The sequence below is a fragment of the Homo sapiens genome, chromosome 18, assembly GCF_000001405.40.
Source record: "Homo sapiens chromosome 18, GRCh38.p14 Primary Assembly".
NCBI lineage: Eukaryota > Metazoa > Chordata > Mammalia > Primates > Hominidae > Homo > Homo sapiens.
Genome location: NC_000018.10, coordinates 26,422,249 through 26,444,708, shown reverse-complemented (window position 1 = coordinate 26,444,708; position 22,460 = coordinate 26,422,249). Strand labels below are relative to the sequence as shown.

Genomic DNA, 22,460 nt, shown 5'->3' with positions numbered 1-22,460 from the left:
CTTTGTCTCAAAAAAAATAATAAAAATAAAAATAAATAAACCAACCTAGAAATGATGAGACATTACACAATCAGTAGACAAAAACACTAAAACAGTTAATAAACTTTATTCTACATGTTCAAGGAGCTAAAGACTTAACGTATTAAATGGTGACATGGAAAATATAAAGAACAATATCAAATTTCTAGAAATAAAAATTATGATGTCTGAAACACACACCTGATGGGATTAGCAGCAGATTACAAAAAATTAGTGAACTTGAAGATATATTAAATAGCAATAGAAATTTCCTAAGATGAAACATAGAGTCTTGTCTTTAAAATACTGAAACAAAATGAACAGAGCATATTGAACTGTGGAGTAACTTCAAGCAGCCTAATACACATGTAATTGCAATCTCCCTCAAGGGGTCAAGGGGGCAAATGGAAAAATATTTGAAGAAATAATGGCTATTTTCCAAATTTGATGACAACTACAGTATAAACCCACAGATCCAAGAACCTTAATGAACTCTGCAAAAGAAGCATAAAGAAAAACACACCAAGACACATCATAAACAAATTGCTTAAAACCAATGATAAGGAAAAAAAAAATCTTAAAAGCTGCTAGTGGGGGAGGGAGAAGATACTTTATGGACAAAGGTGGAAAGATAAGGATGATGGCAGATTTCTTATGAGAAACATGCAAGCCAGAGACATTGGAACAACAAAGTAAAATTACCTTTCAAAAACAATGGTAAAATAAAAACTTTTTTGGGAAGACAAAATCTAACAGAATATATCACCAGCAGAATTCTCTACAAAAAAATGCTAAAAGAAGTCCCTCAGGCAGAAGGAAAATGATGGCAATTGGAAATCAGCTTCTATACAAAGAATGGAGGGCACCAAAAATGATAACTACGTGGGTAAACATAAAGGGCTTTATTCATTATGGTTAACATTTTAATAAAAATAACTGTTTAAAGGAAAAATAATAACACATCGTGGGTCTACAGCTTATGTAGAAGTAACATTCATAACAACAATATTGGAAGGGAGAAATGAAATTATAAGATGCCTATATGTTAAGTGATATCAAATCATTTGACAAATAAGACTGTGATAAGTTAAAGATAATACTATAAACCTTGCAACTACTAAAATAATGCAACAGAAGCCACTACAGTGAAATTATTTTTTAAAGTACTCATTTTATCCAAAGAAGGCAGAAAAGGAAGAAAAACAAAACAAAGTGCAGATGGGAAAAGTAAAAATTAGCAAAAGGATATAATTAAACAAAACCATATCAATAACCACATTAAATGTAAATGGCCTAACACCTCGATTGAGACAAGATCATCAGGCTGGCTAAAAATATGACACCCAACTATATGCTGCCTAAAAGAAATCAATTTTCAATTTTTTTAAAAAATAGGTTAAAAGTAAGAGCATAGAAAAACATATCCCAAACTAACACTAATCTAAAGAAAGCTGGAGTTGCTATATTAATATCAGGCAAAGTGGACTTCAGAGCAAAGAGTATTACCAGAAATAAAAAGATCATTTCATACGATAAAGGGGTCAACAGGACATACTTCTAGCCTTTTTATTTCACATAATAACAGGACTTTAGAATATAGAAGCTAATAATTGGTATCAACTACAGGTAAATATAGGCAAATCACATGTATAGTCAGAGATCTGAACACCATTCTGTCAAGAAGTGATAGGAAAAATAGACAGAAATTCAGTAAAAATACAGACTTGAACACTCTAAAAACATAAAACAAATCTCAATGGATTTAAAAGAAGTTATAAAGAAGAAATTATCTAACCACAATGGAATTAAAGAACTCTGGAAAATCCACAAATATTTGAAAATTAAATATGTTTTTAAATAGCCCATCGAAGAAGAAATCAAAGGGCAATTAGAAAGTATTTGAACTGAATGAAAATGCAAATATAACATACCAAAATGTGTGGGATTCTACTGAAGCAGTACTTAGGGGGAAATTTATAGCACTAAACATCTACATGAGGAAAGAAGAAAACTTTCAAATCAACAACTCTGGCTTCCACCTTAAGAAACTAGAAAAAGAAGAACAAAGAAAATCCAAAGTAAGCAAAAGAACAAAAATAATAAAGATCAGAATAGAAATCAATAGAATAGAAAAAGAAAAAATAATAGAGAAAACCAATAAAATGAAAAGCTGGGTTATTGAGAAAATTAATAATACTGATAAACCTCTAACCAAACTAACTGGGGAGAAAAGCAAGAGGACACAGATAGTCAATATCAGGAATAAGTAAATTACTGGAGTCCAGATTCTAACCCAGATCTGGCCAACTATCAAGTCCACACCAAGTTGACTCCTGGGAGTTGAGTGAGGCATACCAGATGGACAATCGGGTTGGGCTTATATAAGGTTTTCCTTGATCCATAAATGGGTCTCTAACAAGCTGAATAACCTTCCAAATTAAACGCTGACCACCCAAACACTTTCCGGCAGCACTTATTTGTAAAGATTTTTATATTTTGTTGCTCTTAGATGAACTGTAATAAATTTGTAATGAATTAGAAAAGCAAACATTACTTTTTTATTTGGTAAATTATCTGACTTTTCAACATTAACATTTTTTTAAAAATAGATTCTTAAATTCTGTACTTCCTTCAAACAAAAAGCATTTGCCAGAAAAACAAGTCATTATGGCTCATATTTCAAAGATGTTTTACGCCTGGCTGCATGCTTGAATCCTGGCTATATCCAAGTTTTGGATAGGGCTGCCTCCTTGAAAAGCACTGGGAAATAACGACAGGGTTAATCAGAGTGATGGGATGGGGTGGAGAAAAGAAACTTCAACAGACTGATCTCTCCCTCTGCCTTTCTAGTCTGAATGCAGCTGATAAATGAGTTCATCTACCACACAAAATAGCCTTTGTTTCATTCTGTAGCTTTCTGGCTTTCCACTGCTAGGAAAAGAAAAGAGGCAGTATGGTTTGCCTCAACTTGCCTACTTACCACTGGCGCTTTTCATTTTTAGACTTACTATACAGTAAAACTATTTCCTGAAATTTGCCTTTATTTCAGTGTTAACCATTTCCCCCCAGCTTTCATTTTAAAATATTCAAACCTGCAGAAAAGTTGAAACAACAGTACAAGTAAGGGCATGCACTCTTCACTTGGATTCATCAGTTGTTAACGTTTCACCAGGTCTGCTCTCTCCTTGTCCCTGCGTATCGTTTCTGCTGAGCTATTTGAAAGTAAATTGCAGGCAGCGCAGCAATCACCCCAAGTACTTCAGCACGAAATCGCCTAAGAACAAGAACATGCTCTTAACTCTCAGTGTGATAATACACACACACACACACACACACACACACACACACACACAGTCAATATTCAAATTTCCCCAACTGTCCCAATAATTTTTTTTTTTTTTTGAGATGGAGTCTCACTCTGTCACCCAGGCTGGAGTGCAGCCGCACGATCTTGGCTCACTGCAACATCCGTCTCCCAGGTTCAAGCGATTCTCACCCCCCTAGACTCCCAAGTAGCTAGGACTGCAGACAGGCACCATCACACCTGGCTAATTTTTGTATTTTTAGTAGAGACGGGGTTTCGCCATGTTGGCCAGGCTGGTCTCAAACTCCTGACCTCAAGTGATCCACCCGCCTCAGCCTCCCAGTGTTGGGATTACAGGCGTGAGCCCAGTAATTCTTTTAAAAGCTCTTTTGTTTTGTTTGCTGACTCGACCCAGTCCAGTATCACACGTTGCATTTAGTTGTTATAATGCTGAGCACTTTTTAGCCCACATTAAACGTGTGTCTGATTTGTCACTCTCACTGATTAAGAAATCTCAGATAAATGAAAGCTTGATTCTGCAATTAATCCGGAAGTTACAACTCTTGAAGTACAGCCATGAGTATCAGAACATACTGTTCCAACGGCGGAAGTGGCTACATCATTAAATTATCCTGTTGAATAAATGACATAACTCATTCAGAAATGGAGCAGGGCATACAGGTAGGAAAAATGTTAACTGCTCACCACCTCTCATCGTCTGTAGTCAGGGACACAGACAGTTTGCAGCAGAGGCTGACATTCTGCCCTTGTCAAAGTCACAGACACTGGGAGCTAGGCATCTTTCAAGGTAGCTCTTCTCCCTCCCATGGAAGGCATCCCACGGAAGACCCCACCACGGTCTTCCAGCTTCGCCTTCAATGCTTATCATGGGTAGCCTGGAACCCAGAATGCCTGGGTTCCAGCTTAGCTATGTGACATTGAGCGGGTCACTTAAACACTCTTTAGCGGCCCAGCTTCTTTAGCTAATGAGAGCACACTGCCATCTGCCTCAACTGCACCTGAAGACTGTTAAGGGGAGCAAACAAGAAAGAATGTGGGAAGGCATCACCCTTCACCAGGTCAGCCATCACTGACTTGACAAGGAGCTTGCTACTGTCACGCTGGGTGCCTTTGCTGCCCTAACAGCTCTTCCCCTGGGTCCACTGTCCTCCACTAAGGAGAAAGGCATTGAATCAGTCCTTACTGCTTTCTTTACCAGATTAAGCAGCCCCATTTTCTTCAACTAAAATGCCCTTGATCTGGACACTGTACTCAACTTAGTGCAACCTAAGAAGCAGACACCACCCGGACCTTGGGTTTGATCAAGCCAGATATCCCCCATCCCTTGAGCAATTGATCATTTATAACCAAAGAAAGAACTGGCCCTTATTCCCCATGAAATTTCACAGGATTAGTGTTTTGGATGCTTTGGGGTTCTTCCATCTGTCCTCCAGGAAGCTATTCACTCCTTCAAGTCTTGAGTCATCTGAGAATTCTCTGAGCATGGCCTGTCCATCTTCATCCGAGCCACAGACATCACTGTTGACTTGAAGCACACCATCAAAGTTCTCCCTCTAGGATAATGCCAGCCTCTTCACCAGCATTACTTGGGTACGGGTGTTCCCAACAGCTGTGAACCCACAGGACTAGGCTATCACTCATTCATTCGTTCATTCATTCATTCATGCATTCAGAGCTGCTGAGCACCCACTGTGAGCCAGCCCTGCACTTGGCACTAGCCCCTCAAGAAAAAGAGGAGGAAGCTGGCGCACTTATGGCTTTTCCACTCAGATCCTCCTGATTACAAATCCCTGCATCCTCCCTTTCTATCCCTTTAGTATGTCCATCAAGAAGGAAATGACTTCTTTGGAAGGGCCTGGGCATCTGCTTTCTTTGATACACTATTCATAAACATTCAGGGCATAATTTATCAAGAAACTTGGGTGTCAGCTTAGACAACACTGCATCTGAGAACAGTTCCCTATCCCCTGCCCAACTTTCTGAACAGAACACACACACACACATACACCCTTTCCTCCACTGCACCATAAATGGAGAAGCTACATTTACCCAGGACACCACCACCCTCATTGATCGGCCCAGAGGGAATACCTGTGTCAGGTCTCTTACATGCAAATATATAATTGAGTCTAGGAGACTCATCTCTGTCTGGCTGCGCTGTCAAAAAGAGGAACTATCAGCCTTAGCTCTGTGGGCTGCCAAGTTCACGGGCAAGAGAAAATTCAGAGGCCGGGGTACAGCAGAAGCAGCAACAACAGCAGTTGATTTCTTGGTTCTGGTTGACTCCTGAGGCCTGGTGGGTCCCTGCTGTCACTTTTGTGAGACAGCTCTGTACTGTCGGAGTAAGCTCCACTTTCTTTAAGCTATATAAATTGGTTTATATTATTTGCAATTAAAAAATTCCACCCAGCAGGGCACGGTGGTTCATGCCTGTAATCTCAGCACTTTGGGAGGCCCAGGTGGGCGGATCACTTAAGTCCAGGAGTTTGCTAGCAGCCTGGCCAACATGTCAAAACCCCGTCTCTAGAAAAAATACAAAAATTAGCTGGGTGTGTTGGCGTATGCCTGTAATCCCAGCTACTTGGGAGGCTGAGGCACAAGGATCACTTGAACCAGGAGGTGGAGGTTGCAGTGAGCCAAGATCACACCACCACACTCCAGCCTGGGTGACAGAGCAAGCTTCTGTCTAAAAATAAAAGTAAAAATTCCACTTAATACATAATGCAGAAAAGGTGCCATTAATAGTTGATTTTAGATGTTTTTGTACCCTTTTAGATAACTAGGAACATTGTTGATTTTGTTCCTAGTTACTGATTTTTTATTGTTACTGATATTCCATTGCCACTCTTCCACTTTCTCCGGGAAATCTCAGTAGTTAACACATCTACAGGTCTGTCCTTATCTGGAAATGTATTTCATCTAAACCGAGAAGCTCCAATTCAGGTAAGCCACCAGGGGCCAGCCCACACTCTGCCCCTGTCCTGAGGTCCAGTTCCTTCCATACTTTGTTCCACCCTTTCCAATTTGAAGTCCATTCTCTGAGATGAGGAAGGCAGAAATAAAACAGCAGTGACGTGTGTCTGCCTTGTCTTGGCCACCAGTCACATTACACTGACTGCTCTAAGCTGTGGCGCCATGGCTACCAGTGTTGGTTCAGATCCCTGTCTCCTGCTTACTGGCTGTGTGACCTTGGGAAAGTTAGGGAACTTCTCTGTCCCTCACAGTCCTCATCTAAAAACTGGGAATCACATCAGTGCCTACCTCACAGAGCTCCTGCGAGGATCTGAGCAAACGAATTAACACAAGTAGAAGACAGGGCCTGGCTCAATAAATGTTCACTTTTATTTTGTCCTTTTCCTATCCTGACTAAAACTAAAAGAACCCTCTTCTGTGTGTGCAAAGTTCGTAGAAACTTCTGTTGTAGTCTTCTTGTCATTTTTCATGCTGCTTCTTTTTCCTTGGGATCTTCCTGCTTCCTTGTGAGTGGGAAAATAAAACCAAGGTCAACTACAAATTAATTAATTAATTTATTTATTTATTTATTTATTTATTTATTTATTTATTTAATTTTATTTTTTGAGGCAGAGTCTCATGCTGTCGCCCAAGCTGGAGTGCAGTGGCACAATCTCAGCTCACTGCAACCTCTGCCTCCCAAGCTCAAGCGATACTCCTACCTCAGCCTCCTGAGTAGCTGGGATTACAGGCACACACCCCCATGTCCAGCCAATTTTTGTATTTTTAGTAGAGACAGAATTTCTCCATGTTGGCCAGGCTGGTCTCAAACTGCTGACCTCAAGTGATCCACCTGCCTCAGCCTCCCAAAGTGCTGGGATTACAGGTGTGAGCCACTGTGCCCAGCTCCAACTACTAATTGAAAAGGCATAGCCCCCGATAAGAAATGTTCACTCCTGGCTTGTCCCACCACACTCTCCAAAGGGGCACTTGACCCTGCCATTGTCTTTCCAGACAGCTCTTCTCTTCCAGACGTCACCTTTCCCAGGCAGTGAGGCCTCCCCAGGCTACAAAGATCAGGCAGGCTGCAGCGCCCGGCTAGTTGAAGAAATGAATGTTATCTCCTAGAAACCAGGAGGACTACCTCAGTGAAGCTTTTCACCTTGGAAGTTCCTTACAGTGAAATAGGGAAGTTTCTCATTATGCCCAGGTAATACAGCACTGATGGGCACAGGGTTGACAAGGCGCCCAAGGGAGGCTCTGAATTATCCTTCCTGTTGCCCCTCCTCAACCCCTCCTTAATTTTCTTCTACTGAAATAAAAAAGTAAGTGAAATAAAATGTTTCAAAACTGACTCAGAGAAGCTAGAGGTCCTAACTAAAGCAACATTTGCAAAACAACACACTTACTATTAGCTCTGCCCATCACGCTAGCTGACAAGCAGTGCTTAAAATAAGACAGAAAGAAGCAGGGAGGCTCATTCATGTACTGCCTGGCTGCGGGAGGCAGCCAGGAGACAGTGCCCTGCCTTGGTGGGGCGCGCTCCCAGCAAGGGGAGGCCAGTGGGAAACAACCACAGCAGAGTTGATAGATGCCCTGCCTGACACGGCTGTTCAGCCTGCTCTGGGAACATGAGGCAGGAACAAACTACTAGCTCATCCTGGGGAATCCAGGGAAGGTCTCACAGAGCTGGGGCAGGAGCAGAATCTTACAGGATGAGCCCACCAGAAAGACAAGAGGAGGAAAGTGGGAAGCAAAGGGTGTTTCAGGCAGGGACAGTAGCCTGTGCAAAGACAGACACCTGAAAAGCACGATGCTGAGTACAGGAAGAATAGCCAAGTTCCCTGTGGGGCAGGGCCAGGCAAGGAAAAGAGCAGGGACACCCAGCATCAGGAGAAGTTAGGATGGGGGCCCTCCTGAATGCCGCTTTTCAAGCCCCACAGACTGATTCAGAGTCGTTACGGTGGGACCCAAAAGTCTACATCCAGGTGGCCCTGAGGACCCAGTGTGGGAATGAGTCATAGACAACAAGGAATCATTGGCATTTTCAAACAGCAGTGTGATGCAACCAGATTTGCTTTTAAGAAACACTATATTTGTGGGAAAGTGGAGAAGGAAGTGGAGCTTGCAGAGCCTGAAGAAGAGATCAATCAGGAGATGATTCCAGCTGTCCTGTGGAGCCACGATAAATGAAAGCAATTGGGAGGGAGAAGAGGCGGTAAATATCATGAGATATTTCCAAGGTACAAACAACAGAATTTGATGAGCAATTACATGTGGGTGGTGAAGGAGAGAAAACAGTCAAAATAATTCCAAAGTTTCCACCTCAGGCTCCCCAAGGGTTGAGAGCCCTTAGGAAAAAGAGGGAATGGAGGTCAAGAGGAAGCTTGCATTTGTGGGGCAGGCAGTGAGAACTCTCCACGGAATTTAGTTGAGGTGTGCGGCTCAGGAGATGGCTGTGGATAACTGCATGTCCAGAGATGGGGGCAGCAAGCCACAGGCACTGCAGGGAGGAGCCGAGATTAAACATGGGGATTTGGAGTGATAACTGACAAGGAAAGGCTGAGGACGCCCAGGGAGAGTGGACAGACTGGACATGCACCTGGAGATGCCTCCAACAGGAGAGGTGGGTGGAGACCCAGAAGGAACAGCAAAGAAGGAGGAGGAAAACCTACCTAAAATAGTGTGGGAAATTGGAAAGGAGAGAGTTTCAAGGAGAGAATGAGAATGTCCAACACCCAAGAAAGGTCAGATAGGGATAGAGCGGAAACACGTAGATTAGGTGTGGCAATTCCAAAGCCACTGCCAACCCTAGAGAAGGCGACTGTGGTGTTCTGGGATCCGGAGCCAGACTGCAGCAGGCTGAGAAGTAAATCAAAGCCAGGAGGAGAAGACAGCAATTGCAGACTCTTCTTTTATTGTGAAGGAAAAGAGACATGACAGTCACCAGAGGGAATGGCAGAGTGAGATATATGGAGCCTTTCCCCTCTTTTTAAACTTTTCACTTTATTAAAATAGCATGCCTTAACATGAATCATTGAATATAATGATTATTTCCTACATTCTATAGATATCCAAAATGATTAGAAATATTTTCTACTCCAGCACTTCCTAACATTGTATTTGCAGAGGGTACAATCTCAGCAAGTTAGGGTGAGAATTTTTCTTTCAGTTTGAGTATTTGAAAATGGCCATATGGATTCATATCACCTCATATTCTTGCAGTAAAAAGCATGAACACCAGGGTTACAAGGGAGTCCGCATGATGTTTGTAAGAAGGGATGTGAGCAGTAAGAATGAGGTTCAAACTCCACCCTCCTTGGGTAACCCTTGCATCACAGCTGTGTGGGTATTAATAGTGTGTGACCCATTTAATCCTCACAACAGTTCAGTTGTTCTTCCTAAATAATAGCAAACCTTTATAGAGTGCTTATTATATTCCAGGCAATATCCTAAGTGCTTCAATACGTAATCCCACCTGATACTCAAAACAATCTTATGAAAAAGATACTATTATTATCCCATTTTACAAATGAGAAAACCGTAATTCAGAGGGCCTAAAGTAACCTGCTCAATATCACACAGCTAGTAAGTAGGGATGAATTTCCAAATGATGTTATTAAATTTAGAAATTAAGGGGAAATGGCTAAATGTAAAAGAAGTTAGAAATACAAAGGGGCCAAAACCAGAAACAACTCAATGTCCTCCAACAAGAGTATCAATAAACAAATTGTAGTTTATTTAAACAACAAAATACAACTCAGAATCAACTACAGATATATGCAGTGACATGAATGAGTCTCAAAAATTATGTTGAAGTATATGAAAAAGAGCTCAACATCACTGATCATTACAGAAATGGAAATTAAAACCACAATGAGGTACTATCTCACACCAGTCAGAATGGCTATTATTAAAAAGTCAAAAAATAACAGATGCTGGAGAGGTTGCAGAGAAAAAGGAACACTTACACACTGCTGGTGGGAGTGTAAATTAGTTCAACCATTGTATAAAACAGTGTGGCGATTCCTCAAGGACCTAAAAACAGAAATACTATTCGACCCAGCAATTCCATTACTGGGTATATATCCAAAAGTGTATATAAAGTGTTCTATCAGAAAGGCATGCTGGGCATGGTGGCTCACGCCTGTAATCCCAACACTTTGGGAGGCCGAGGTAGGTGGATCAGCCTGGCTAAACCAGCCTGGCCAACATGGTGAAACCCTGTCTCTACTAAAAACATAAAAATTAGCCAGGAGTGGTGGTGCATGCCTGTAGTCCCAGCTACCCAGGAGGCTGAGTGGGGAGAATCACTTGAACCTAGGAGGTGGAGGTTGCAGTGAGCCGAGATTGTGCCACTGCACACTCCAGCCTGGGTGAGAGAGCAAGACTCCATCTCAAAAAAAGAAAAAGAGAAAGAAAGAAAGAGAGAGAGAGAGACAAAGAAAGAAAGAAAGAAAGAGAAAGCAAGCAAGCAGGCAAAAAGGGAAAGAAAGGCAGGCAGGAACATGCACACATATGTTTATTGCAGCACTATTCACAATAGCAAAGAGATGAAATCAACCTAAATGTCCATCAATGACAGATAGGATAAAGGAAATGTGGTACATAGACACCATGAAATACTATGCAGCCATATAAAAGAACAAGATCATGTCCTTTGAAGGAACATTAATGGAGCTGGAGGCCATTATTCTTAGCAAACTAATGCAGAGACAGAAAACCAAATACTGCATGTTCTCACCTATAAGTGGGAGCTAAATGATGAGAACACATGGACACACAGAGGGGAACAACATACACTGGGGCCTATTGGAGGGTGAAGGGTGGGAGGAGGGAGAGGATCAAGAAAAATAACTAATAGGTACTAGGCTTAATACCTGGGGGATGAAATAATCTGTACAGCAAACCCCCATGGCACAAGTTTACCTATGTAACACACCTGTACATGAACCCCTGAACTTAAAATAAAAGTTAAAAGTAAAATAACTTTTATTTAGTAAAACAAATTACATTTAATGAAAAATCAAACTACCAAAGAAATATATACTGTACAGTTCCATTTATATAAAGTTCCAGAAGTACTAATTTCCAATAATAGGAGTCAGAATAGATATTACTAGGGTACAGGAGTGAGAGCATGGTAGGCTCGTGAAAGGAGTTAGGGGAATTTTCTGAGGTGAGGAAAGTGTCTTATATGAGGGTGGCAGTCCAAAATGAAGTCATATGTAAATGAACTTTAGAAAACAAGAAAGAGTCAGAGGTACGATGGAGGAAGGCCAAGGAGCAGGCTGAGGGGCTCAGTTAACAAACACAGATGCAGTCCTAGCTCCAGAGAAGCCCCTAAGCCCTAATGCCTGAGAAGGAGGGAGAGCCAGTTCCATGGCCAGCAGAAGGATGGCAGTAGCCAGCCGAGGGAGCTGACCTCAGAAGGCTCGTCCATCATTTCAGCTGGAGGAGTAAGAATATAGGAGAATACTTTTCCAATGGTAGATGTTCTTGGGCCAAGGATGTTAGATCTGGGACAACCCCCTTTTATAGATGAGGACACAGTGTTAGTGACTTATTCATGGTTACATGGTTAATTAGTCACAGAGCTGGAATCAGCACATAGTTCCTTTACATCAATAGAATAAGTCAACTGGGGTGGTGTCAGAGCCTCCTCAAATGCACGACCCTGCATCACTTCCCACCATTGACTCCCATCACTGCTAATGAAGGCTCTGACCCTTGCTTACTCAAAACAAATGAATGACTTCCAGTTGTATCTTCATTTAATAAACATTCGTCAATCACTTATCACTGGCCAGGTGCTGTTAGGTGCTGAAAATCCAAAAAGAAAAAGCCACTATCCCTGTTTTCAGATAACTTAAGGTTGGTGAGGTGAGACTCACATGAGTAGATGACACACTAGAGATGAGTACCAGAGTACGAAAGAGGGGAGAAGGTTTACTGACGGCACAAGCAGAACTCAAGCAATCCTGCTAAGGTGAGGAGTTGAGAAGTCTTCCTTAAGCCTCTGAGAGAATGGGGCAGGCTGAGGTCAGAGAACTGAAGGGAAGGGTTTAGGGATAGAATCACCCCACTGAAAGCACAGGCAAGCACATGCACAGAGACGCAAGAAACTCTCTCCCCCTGCTCCCTATCCAAGATGGGGAGCTCAGGGGTACAAATCTGGCTTCCCTTAGTGAAGAGCACCAGCCAAATGGACCTGTAAAAACAATCAACATCAAAAGTATCCGTGAGGAGTTTGGCTTCAATACACCCCTGAAGATAAATACGATGCAATCTCAACACATACTTAGCCTACAAACAGAATTTCCACAACAGAATATGGACTAAGCTTTGGTGAGTGGAAACATGATGCTTTTAAGCACATTTTGACAAACACAGTGATCTTTAAACAGTCACCTACACAGCCTGGTGCTGGCATAAGAACAGATGCATAGACCAATAGAACAGAATAAACCCACAAATAAATCCATGTATCTACAATGAACTCATTTTTGGCAACAGTGCGAAGAAGATACCTTGGGGAAAGGACAGTCTCTTCAATAAATGTGCTGGGAAAACTGGATATCCATATGCAGATGAATGAAACTAGACCCCTATCTCTCACCATATACAAAAATCAAATCAAAATGGACTAAAGACTTAAATCTAAGACCTCAGACTATGAAACTACTACAAGAAAACATTGGAGAAACTCTCCAGGATGTTGGACTGGAGAAAGATTTCTTGAGTAATACCCCACAAGCACAGGCACCAAAGCAAAAATGGACAAATGGGATCACATCAAGTTAAAAATTTTCTGCACAGCAAAGGAAACAATCAACGAAGTGAAGAGACAGCCCACAGAATGAGAGAAAATATTTGCAGACTACCCATCTGACAAGAGATTAATAACCAGAATATATAAGGAGCTCAAACAACTCAATAGGAAAAAATCTAATAATCTGATTTTAAAATGGGCAAAAGGTTTGAATAGACATTTCTCAAAAGAAGACATACAAATGGCACACAGGTATATGAAAGGGTGCTCAACATCACTGATCATCAGAGAGATGCAAATCAAAACTACAATAAAATTTGTACTACAATTACTACAGTAAAATTGGCTTTTACCCAAAAGACAGGAAATAACAAGTGCTGGGGAGGATGTAGAGAAAGGGGAACCCTCATACACTCCCCTTAGTACAATCACTATGGAGAACAGTATGGAGATTCCTTGCAAAACTACCGTATGAGCTACCATATGATCCAGCAATCCCACTGCTGCGTATACCCGAAAGAAAGGAGATCAGTATATTGAACAGAGATAATCTGCACTCCCATGTTTATTGTAGCACTATTCACAATAGCAAAGATTTGGAAGCAACCTAAGTGTCCAGCAACAGACAAATGGACAAATAAAATGTGTTATGGGCAGGGTGCGGTGGCTCACGCCTGTAATCCCAGCACTTTGGGAGGCTGAGGCAGGAGGATCACTTGAGCTCAGGAGTTTAAGGCCAGCCTGGGCAACATGGTAAAACGCTGTATCTACACTACATTAGAAAAAAAAAAATTAGCCAGTGCACGCCTGTAGTCTCAGCTACTTGGGAGGCTGAGGTAGGGGGATCACTTGAGCCTGAGAGGTGGAGGCTGCAGTGATCCATGATCATACCACTGCACTTCAGCCTGGGAGACAGAGCAAGACTCTGTCTCAAAAACAACAACAAAAAAGGTGTATGTGTTATATACACAAAATGGAGTACTATTAAGCCATTAAAAAGAATGAGATCCTGTCAACAACATGGATGGAACTAGAAGATGTTATGTTAAGTGACATAATTCAGGCACAGACAGAAAGAAATTTAGCATGTTCTCAATCATTTGTGGGAACTAAAATTAAAACAATTGAACTCATGGAGATAGAGGGTAAAAAGATGGTTAGCAGAGACTGGGAAGGATAGTGGGGAGAGAGGGATGGGAAATGGGGATGGCTAATGGGTAGAAATATATAGTTAGATACCACAAATAAGATTTAGTATTTGATAGCACAAGAGGGTAACTACAATCAGCAATAATTTGTTGCACATTTTAAAACAACTGAGTGAATAAAATTGGAATGTTCATAACACAAAGAAATGATGAATGCTTGAGGTGACGGAAACCCCATTTACCCTGATGAGATTATGACACGTTGCATGCCTGTATCAAAATATCTCATGTGCCCCATAAATACCTACATTGACTATGTACCTATAAAACTTAATAATCAAAAATATTTTTAAAAACCAGTCGCCTAAACCTGTTCCACAATCAGTAGTCATGAACATTAAACTGCTGGCTTTATCAATCAGTATCTCCTGAATCCAAGAAACACGCACACTAGCTGAAATGCAGGCCACAGCTCTGCCAGTGATGGATAGCAAAACAAAGGCAGCACTAATGAAAAATTAATGAAAACAGTTACTTCCATAAGAAAAATGATCTGTTTTCTCCCACCTTCGTATTGATTTTTAACCAGCCCTGTAATTGGAAATGTATATGTTATCCCAAGGTAAAGGCAGGCAGAAGGGAGCAGAGTGTGTAATCCACTCCAGTGTGGGCAGGCTGTCAGCCATGCAACGAAGCTTTAGCCTGGGAAGCACAGCCTCTCCCTCTCATATTCTCTCCTCCCAGCCTGAAACCTGATCCTCCCAGGCTCTGAGTCCTGAGTCATTCCAAGGTTATGAATACTGATGACACCCTAATGTTCCTATGTCCATCAGGGAACGCACTTTTGGGATCATCTTTTCCTATAGCATTCAATTGAAATAAATACAACCCCAATCTTCATAGTGCAGGAAGTCCCATCTCTCCCCCAAGTTCTGAGGAATTCCCTGGATATTTATCTTTCCCCATAGTCACTTTTCTTTTTTTTTGAGATGGAGTCTCGCTCTGTCGCCCAGGCTGTGTAGTGGCGCGATCTCAGCTCACCACAACCTCCGCCCAGGTTCAAGCAATTCTCCTGCCTCAGCCTTCTGAGTAGCTGGGATTACAGGTGCATGCCACCATGCCTGGCTGATTTTTGTATTTTTAGTAGAGACGGGGTTTCACCATGTTGGTCAGGCCGGTCTCGAACTCTTGACCTCATGATCTGCCTGCCTCAGCCTTCCAAAGTGCTGGGATTACAGGCATGAGCCACTGCACCAGGACCATAGTCACTTTTTATATCTCACTCAATTCCAGTCTCAACTCTCCCATCCCCTCTTCTCTCATCTGCTGTGGCTCTCACCAAATCTATCACATTTTGTCACAAGCTTGGATATAGCCCACCTCCTTGCCTCTCCAAAGACTAACCTAAAGCAGTACTAGGTTAGGCTAGTTAAAGTTAGTTAAAGCAGACTAGGCATGGTGGCTCACGCCTGTAATCCAGCACTTTGGAAGGCCAAGGTGGGAGGATCACCTGAGGCCAGGAGTTCAAGGCCAGCTGGGCCAACATGGAGAAACCCCATCTCTACTAAAAAATACAAAAATTAGCCGGGCATGGTGGCGTGCACCTGTAGTCCCAGCTACTCAGAGGTTGAGGCACGAGAATTGCTTGAACCTGGGAGGCAAAGTTGCAGTGAGCCGAGTTTACGCCACTGCACTCCAGCCTGGGCAGCAGAGAAAGACTCCGTTTCAAAAAAACAAAAAACCAAAACACATAAAGTTAGTTAAAGCAGACTGAGGCAGGTTGGAGGGTAGAATCCTCATTTGCTTTGCTCACCACTGAATCCTAAATGCCAAAGCTCTACTTGGAGCATCATAGGAGCTTAAAACTAATAATAGGCCTAGAATATAGACACAGACCTTGAGCAACCAAATTCATAGAGACAGAAAGTAGACAGGTGGTTGCCAGGGGCTGAAGGAAGCATGGGGAGTACTTCTGTACAGAGTACAAAGTTTCAGTTTAGAAGATAAAAAAGTTCTGGAGAGGCCAGACGCGGTGGCTCATGCCTGTAATCCCAACACTTTGGGAGGCTGAGCCAGACAGATCACTTAAGACCACGAGTTCAAGACCAGCCTAGCCAACATGGTGAAACCCCATCTCTACTAAAAATGCAAAAACTAGCCAGGCATGGAGGCACACATCTGTAATCGCAGCTACTTGGGAGGCTGAGGCACAAGAATCGCTTGAACCCAGGAGGCAGAGGTTGCAGTGAGCCAAGATCGCGCCACTGCACTCCAGCCTGGGCAACAGAGTGAGACTCTGTCTCAAAAAAAAAAAAAAAAAAAAAAAAAGTTCTGGAGAGGCATGGTGGTGATGGTTGCATAACATTGTGAATATTCTCTGTGTCACTGAACTGTCCACTTAAATATAGTTAAAATGGTAAAATCTATGTTATGTGTATTTTACAATTTTTAAAATTCAATGAAGCAATGATAGAAGAAAAGAGGAGTGGAGCTCAGTTCTCTTTTATCCTAAAACTAAACATCTGTTCTCAGGACTCCTTAATGTCCCAGCTCGTGGGGTGGCTGCCTGGTCCAGAGCTCTCCAAAGTGAGTGCTCCAGACCTATTTATAACATAGTCCAACTGAGAGAGGAAAGCAAATTACAACTTCTATTTATATATATTAATACTTTCTATTTTGGGGGTATATTTAAACATATATAATACTATAGAAGCACATGTAGATAATTTAGAAACAATTAGATTTACATTGGAGGAATGTTGTCAAAAACTTTACACTCCTGGATTGCATACTCAACAAACCTTGAAGACCATTATTATTATTAATTTGTATAGCTTTATGTGGTACAAGTACAGTTTTGTTACATAGATATACTGCTTTTGGTGAAGTCTGGGCTTTTCGTGTAACCATCATCTGAATAATATACCTTGTATCCATTAAGCAATTTCTCTTATTATGATTTATTTATTTATTTAGAGACAAGGTCTTGCTCTGTCCCCCAGGCTGGAGTGCAGTGGCACCATCTTGGCTTACTGCAGCCTCTACCACCTGGGCTCCAGCGATCCTCCCACCTCAGCCTCCTAAATAGCTGGGACTACAGGCACACACCACCATGCCCAGATAATTTTTTTATTATTTGTAGAGATGAAGTCTCACCATGTCACCCAGATTGGTCTTAAACTCCTGGGCTCACGCAATCCTCCCACCTTGGCCTCCCAAAGTATTGGGATTACAGGTGTGAGCCACTGCTCCAGGACTCGTATTATTATTTTTTGATGTCTAGCTCACCTTACTAGCTGTGAGCTCCACAGGGACAGGCATCTTCATATGTTTTGGTTTTTTTTTTTTGTTTTATTTAGTTGTGTTTTTTTTGTAATTTTTACAGATGGAGGGTCTCGCTATGTTGTCCTGGCTGGTCTCAAACTCCTGGCCTCAATGATCCTCCCATCTCAGCCTCACAAAGTGCTGGGATTACAGCATGAGCCACCAAGCACCCCGGCCATATGTTTTGTTTATCTGTGTATCCCATACCCCCAGTACAGTATCTGGCATACAGTAAGTTCTCATGGATAGTTGCTGATGAATGAGTTGTGGCTGCTGTTACCACTACTCTCTCCAAAGCAGGCGCTCTTAGCCCATGACCATGCCATGCAGCTGGGGGCTTCTGGCCCACTGGGACATGCTCTCTTCCTCTTTCTCCTCCTTTTCTTTTTTTTTTTTGCTACACCATCCTACAGTTTTCTAATCTGTAAAATGAGGACATTGGACAGAATGCTTCCAAAGTTCCTAACTTTCTTTCTTTCTTTTTTTTTTTTGAGACGGAGTTTCACCCTTGTTGCCAGGCTGGAGTGCAATGGTGCGATCTTGGCTCACCGCAAACTCCGCCTCCCGGGTTCAAGCAATACTCCTGCCTCAGCCTCCCGAGTAGCTGGGATTACAGGCATGCGTCACCACGCCTGGCTAATTTTGTATTTTTAGTAGAGACGGGGTTTCTCCATGTTGGTCAGGCTGGTCTCGAACTCCCAACCTCAGGTGATCCGCCTGCCTCAGCCTCCCAAAGTGCTGGGATTACGGGCGTGAGCCATTGCGCCCGGCCCAAAGTTCCTAACTTTCTATGATGCTGATTTTCCTGCCTAAATGCCAGCTACTAGGTTGAAGTCATTTCTAAGCCACAACATGAATCTGAATCAGGGATAGATGCATGCAGCTTCAAGGTGACTTTGGGGACTTGGCCTGACTTTTTTTCTCAATGAGGGCAAACTGCCGACATCTCCTCTAGGATACCAAAAGCCACATACATTACAGAATCTCACCAGTCAAGGCCCTTCTGCTGTTCAAAGTAGGTGTCAAGGAAAGGTGGCTCTTTTAGAGGTAGAAAAACACATTTACATTGAGTTTCCATTAAGATCTTATTTTCACAGAACCCAGGTTTGATGGGAAATCTGTGTTTTCTGACTTGGCCCTGTGTTGATCTTGCAGCTGAACAATCCCAGGTGGACCTACCTTGTCCATGCACACATTCCCGAAGTGACTTGGAGCAATTTTCTCAACCTGCCTGCATCTCACATTTCTCTTCTGATAATCCAGAATATAACACTCATTTTGTGAGGCTGCTGTAAGAATAAAAAGACGCATACACAGTGAGACTTCCATAAAATATAACCTTGATCGCTATTATTATATTTTGTTTTCTCAAATGGAAATGAGAAACTAAATCAGTAGTTTCCAGAGGAATTCCAGAATTCTCAAGAGCTGCCAGAATGGGGCTCCAGGTAGTTCATCCTCCGAGATGCCCCCACTTTTTTTCCAGCTCTGCTTTTTCTCAGATTTATGTATATTTCTTATGAAAAAAAAGGGGGGGGGGGGATTCTGCAGATTTTTTGACATGCCTTAAAAATATTGGACTAGATAAGCAGATAATTTTTAATCCTATGAATCTAACTAAAAGAAAGTAAGATGCCTGAACTCAAACCACTGCGCAGGTGATCTCACCTGACAGAGAGAGTGGGATTGCCCTGCCCCCGAATTTCCTGGTTCCCTTCACTGGACTCTGCCAGGAAGAGTTCCCTGTTAGAATCATCTCTGGGACATGTTGCCCATCTCCTAGACAAGTGGTGGTTAAACACCCACTCTTTGGTGAAATATCTCATGCTGTCATCTCTGCCTGCAACCGCTCATCCCTAACCACTCACTTTCAAGAAAGGGAGGAGGGAGGAGAGAGTGAGTTATTAGGAAATAATCCTGAATACACCCAGGCCTGCTGTCTCTCCCATCTTTCCAATCCAAGTTCAGCCTTGGGCATAGATTTAAAACGACATTGTTCCGGAGGTGGTCTTCAAATGCAACAGGCTGTGATTAATGCTCACACTGTCCTTTAAGGCTATGGGCAGCCTTCTGGACTATTCTCCATGGGCTGGTGCTCATCTGAGTTCAGGTTATGGTGGAAATAGCCTGGTTCACAGGTGTGGAGCAGACCCAGCTTCTTCATTTGTGGCTGAAAAACCTCGGGCAAATAACTTGCATGCTTTAAGCCTTGGTTTTCACACCTGAAAAATGAAAGTAAACAGCATTCACCTTGCTTATCTCACAAGACTTTTTTGTAAGAAGCTCATTGAAGACTGGATGTCAGAACCAGATAGAACCACACAGAAGGGAGGCCCAAGGTTACCAGAGACCATCTGAGCCTGCCCCTCACTGAGGAGGCTGGTGTGGCAGGAAGGGGCCGGGCCATTCTCTGGACACATCTGTGGGTCCTCTGGCATGAAGTCATTTGGAGAAGGAGAGGACATGGGGCTGCAGGTTCCTACATGATCCATCCTCACGTCTGATCCTAAAGCTCACTTTCACAGCTTGCCCAATGCCGGGCAGGGAGGATAAAAGTGCCCTGGCTGAGAATCCATCCAGATACCACTGGCTCTTCCAAGATTAAACAGACAGTGCATCTGACTCCCAAAGCATCTCAAAGCAGAGCTGGCCTTTGGTTCAACAGGGCCAAAGGCAGGAATGGGTGGGGCCCTGCCTTCTCCTGCCACTCAAGGTGGGCATGAGGGATCTACAGGCATAGCCACTTGTTTTGAGGACATCTAGGGTGTGGCAAGCCAGAGAAAGCCCATAGAAGAGAGCTAATGACACGGGCCAGGGAGCGTGTGTGGCTGAACCAACTGGGCAGGCCCAGTACACGTGGAGGTGCACCTCATTGTCCTGGACTGGGACTCAGGAAACCTGGCTCTTCTTCCTACTCTGTGTGGCCTTGGGCAAGTCACATCACCTTCCCAGGTTTCTATAGATTAATGGATTGGACCAGAATCTTGCTTTTCAGATGGGTGCATTTAGGCCCATTACTCAGCGGCAAAAAGCTAAAAGTTACTCATCTTCCCAGAATGCCAATTTTACTTGGAGATTGGAAGAAACAGTTTTTCATTTTCTTAAACAGCTTTATGAGATATAATTCACATCTCATACAATTCACCCATTGAAAATGTACAATTCAGTGCTTTTTAATGTATTCATAGGGTTGTCCCAGCATCCCCACCATCAATTTTAGATCATTTCCATTACCCCAAACGGGAGAAACCCATTCCCTTTGGCCGCCACCTCCCACCACCCAGTCCTTCCAGCTCCTGGCAACCACGAATCTACTTTCCATCTCTACAGGTTTGCGTGTTTGGGACATTTCATATAAATAGAATCATACACTATGTGTTCTTGGAAGGCTGATTTTTATATTAAAACAAACAGTTGTGTTATGAAAAGCATGCCAAAATTACATTAATTTCTAAATCACAAAAGACATTTCAGAGAAATCTCCCATGTGTCTAGCAGCTTCATGCTCAGTCTGAGTCTCCTCTGGGGACAGTAATTCACTCTCTTCTGCCTCCGGGGCCACTTGGTGGAAATTCTGGAAGGCACTGGACTTAAGGATCTAGATTCAACTTTTGAAAGACCCCAAGGCTCAGCTAGATAAACCAACAGAGTGATTTTCCGGGGAAAAAGTCACTAATCATGATTTTCTGTTACCATTTTCCTCCTCATCCCCTCATCTTTCCATCTTATCTCACCTCCACACAGAGGTCTACATTTAGAATAACTGAAAAAAAATAAGAGAATGATCCCACTATTTCAGATTTCCATGTGAAAGAATAACAGGTTGCGGCTGACCTCCCTGTCCACTCACCTTGTACCATTCTTCCAGTCTCTGGGAGGAGCTTCTTTGTCTGTTCCCAGTACAGGGCCTTGGAATATGATAGTGAAGCCCAGTTCCAGCTCCACAAATATTTGATGGAAGAAAGAAATGGAAGAAAGCCTGAAGGAAGAAAATGAAGAAGCAAGGGAGAGGGAGAGAAAAACTAGGAATTCGGGATCCTACCAGCCCTCTGTCTCCCCATCCCCACACCATGCTACAATGCAGCCCCCAAGGGGCTTTGAATTTGCGCGTTATCAATCACCTGCTTCTCAGAAATCATTACTGCCCCAAATTAAGACAACGAAACCAACTGCTCACTAAGGAATTTGAAAATGAAGAACTGTGAGTGGGTTGGGGAGGGTTATTAGACCAGAAACAGAGCACTTTTCACTGACAGAGTGCTTTTGCATATATTATCTCATTTGACCTTCCCAGAAGTCTGGTGAGAAAGCCAAGGCCAGGATTCTGTAGGCTGTTTTAGACGAAAAACAAAAAACAAAAAACCCAGCACTTAGGTAGAATGCAGTGCTTTGGCACACACAGGTTCTAGAATCACTCAGCTTTGTTTAAATCTGAGCTCTGGCCCTGTGTGACCTTGGGACCAGTGCCTGACCTTGGTTATGCTAAGGGGCACAGGCAACTGCACAGTGTCATGTGGGGCAGGTGGGACCTCACAGGGAGGAGGGTCTGCAGGTGCCTGGGTCTGTCCTGCATTCTCTCAGCATCCTGCTCAGAGCCTGCACAGCGGGCTGTGCTATGCTTGTGCTGGAGGAGAGGGGTCCTGTCCCCCTTGTTCTTCCTTTGTATTGGGCATAAAGGGAGTCTTTAGGGGGAGGGACAAATGGCGCAAGAGCACAGGGCAGTCTGAGCATAGATGTGGGCTGTTTCAGGAGGTGCTGGGAATGCCAGCTGCCCAGGACATGGAGACAGCAAGCAGGAAGCCACCAGGCCACTTGAGGGTCACCCATTGAACGATTTGGCACACGTCTCTGCAACCTCTCGAAAGATCAGTTTCCTCATCTGCCTTCTCAGAGGATTGTGGCGAGGGTCAAAATGAAAAGT

The 22,460-nt window shown here is 42.9% G+C and overlaps 1 long non-coding RNA gene across 1 annotated transcript, besides 2 other annotated features; it reads right to left on the bottom strand.

Moving 5' to 3' along the window:
• Positions 3,098-3,298: a silencer, noted in NCBI's record as "peak3087 fragment used in MPRA reporter construct". NCBI's record gives its function as "represses an SCP1 promoter by STARR-seq MPRAs in K562 erythroleukemia cells {active_cell/tissue: K562}" and the evidence as "EXISTENCE:reporter gene assay evidence [ECO:0000049][PMID:32103011]".
• LINC01543 (long intergenic non-protein coding RNA 1543) lies at positions 6,665-21,714 on the bottom strand. Its single transcript, NR_110762.1, has 4 exons — positions 21,390-21,714; positions 19,582-19,761; positions 18,719-18,828; positions 6,665-6,819 (listed from the first exon to the last, which is right to left on the bottom strand). It is a non-coding gene; the product is annotated as a long intergenic non-protein coding RNA 1543 (long non-coding RNA).
• Positions 11,501-11,630: an enhancer, noted in NCBI's record as "active region_13183". NCBI's record gives its function as "activates an Ori minimal core promoter by ATAC-STARR-seq in GM12878 lymphoblastoid cells {active_cell/tissue: GM12878}" and the evidence as "EXISTENCE:reporter gene assay evidence [ECO:0000049][PMID:35858748]".
• Positions 21,715-22,460: the final 746 nt, after the last annotated feature.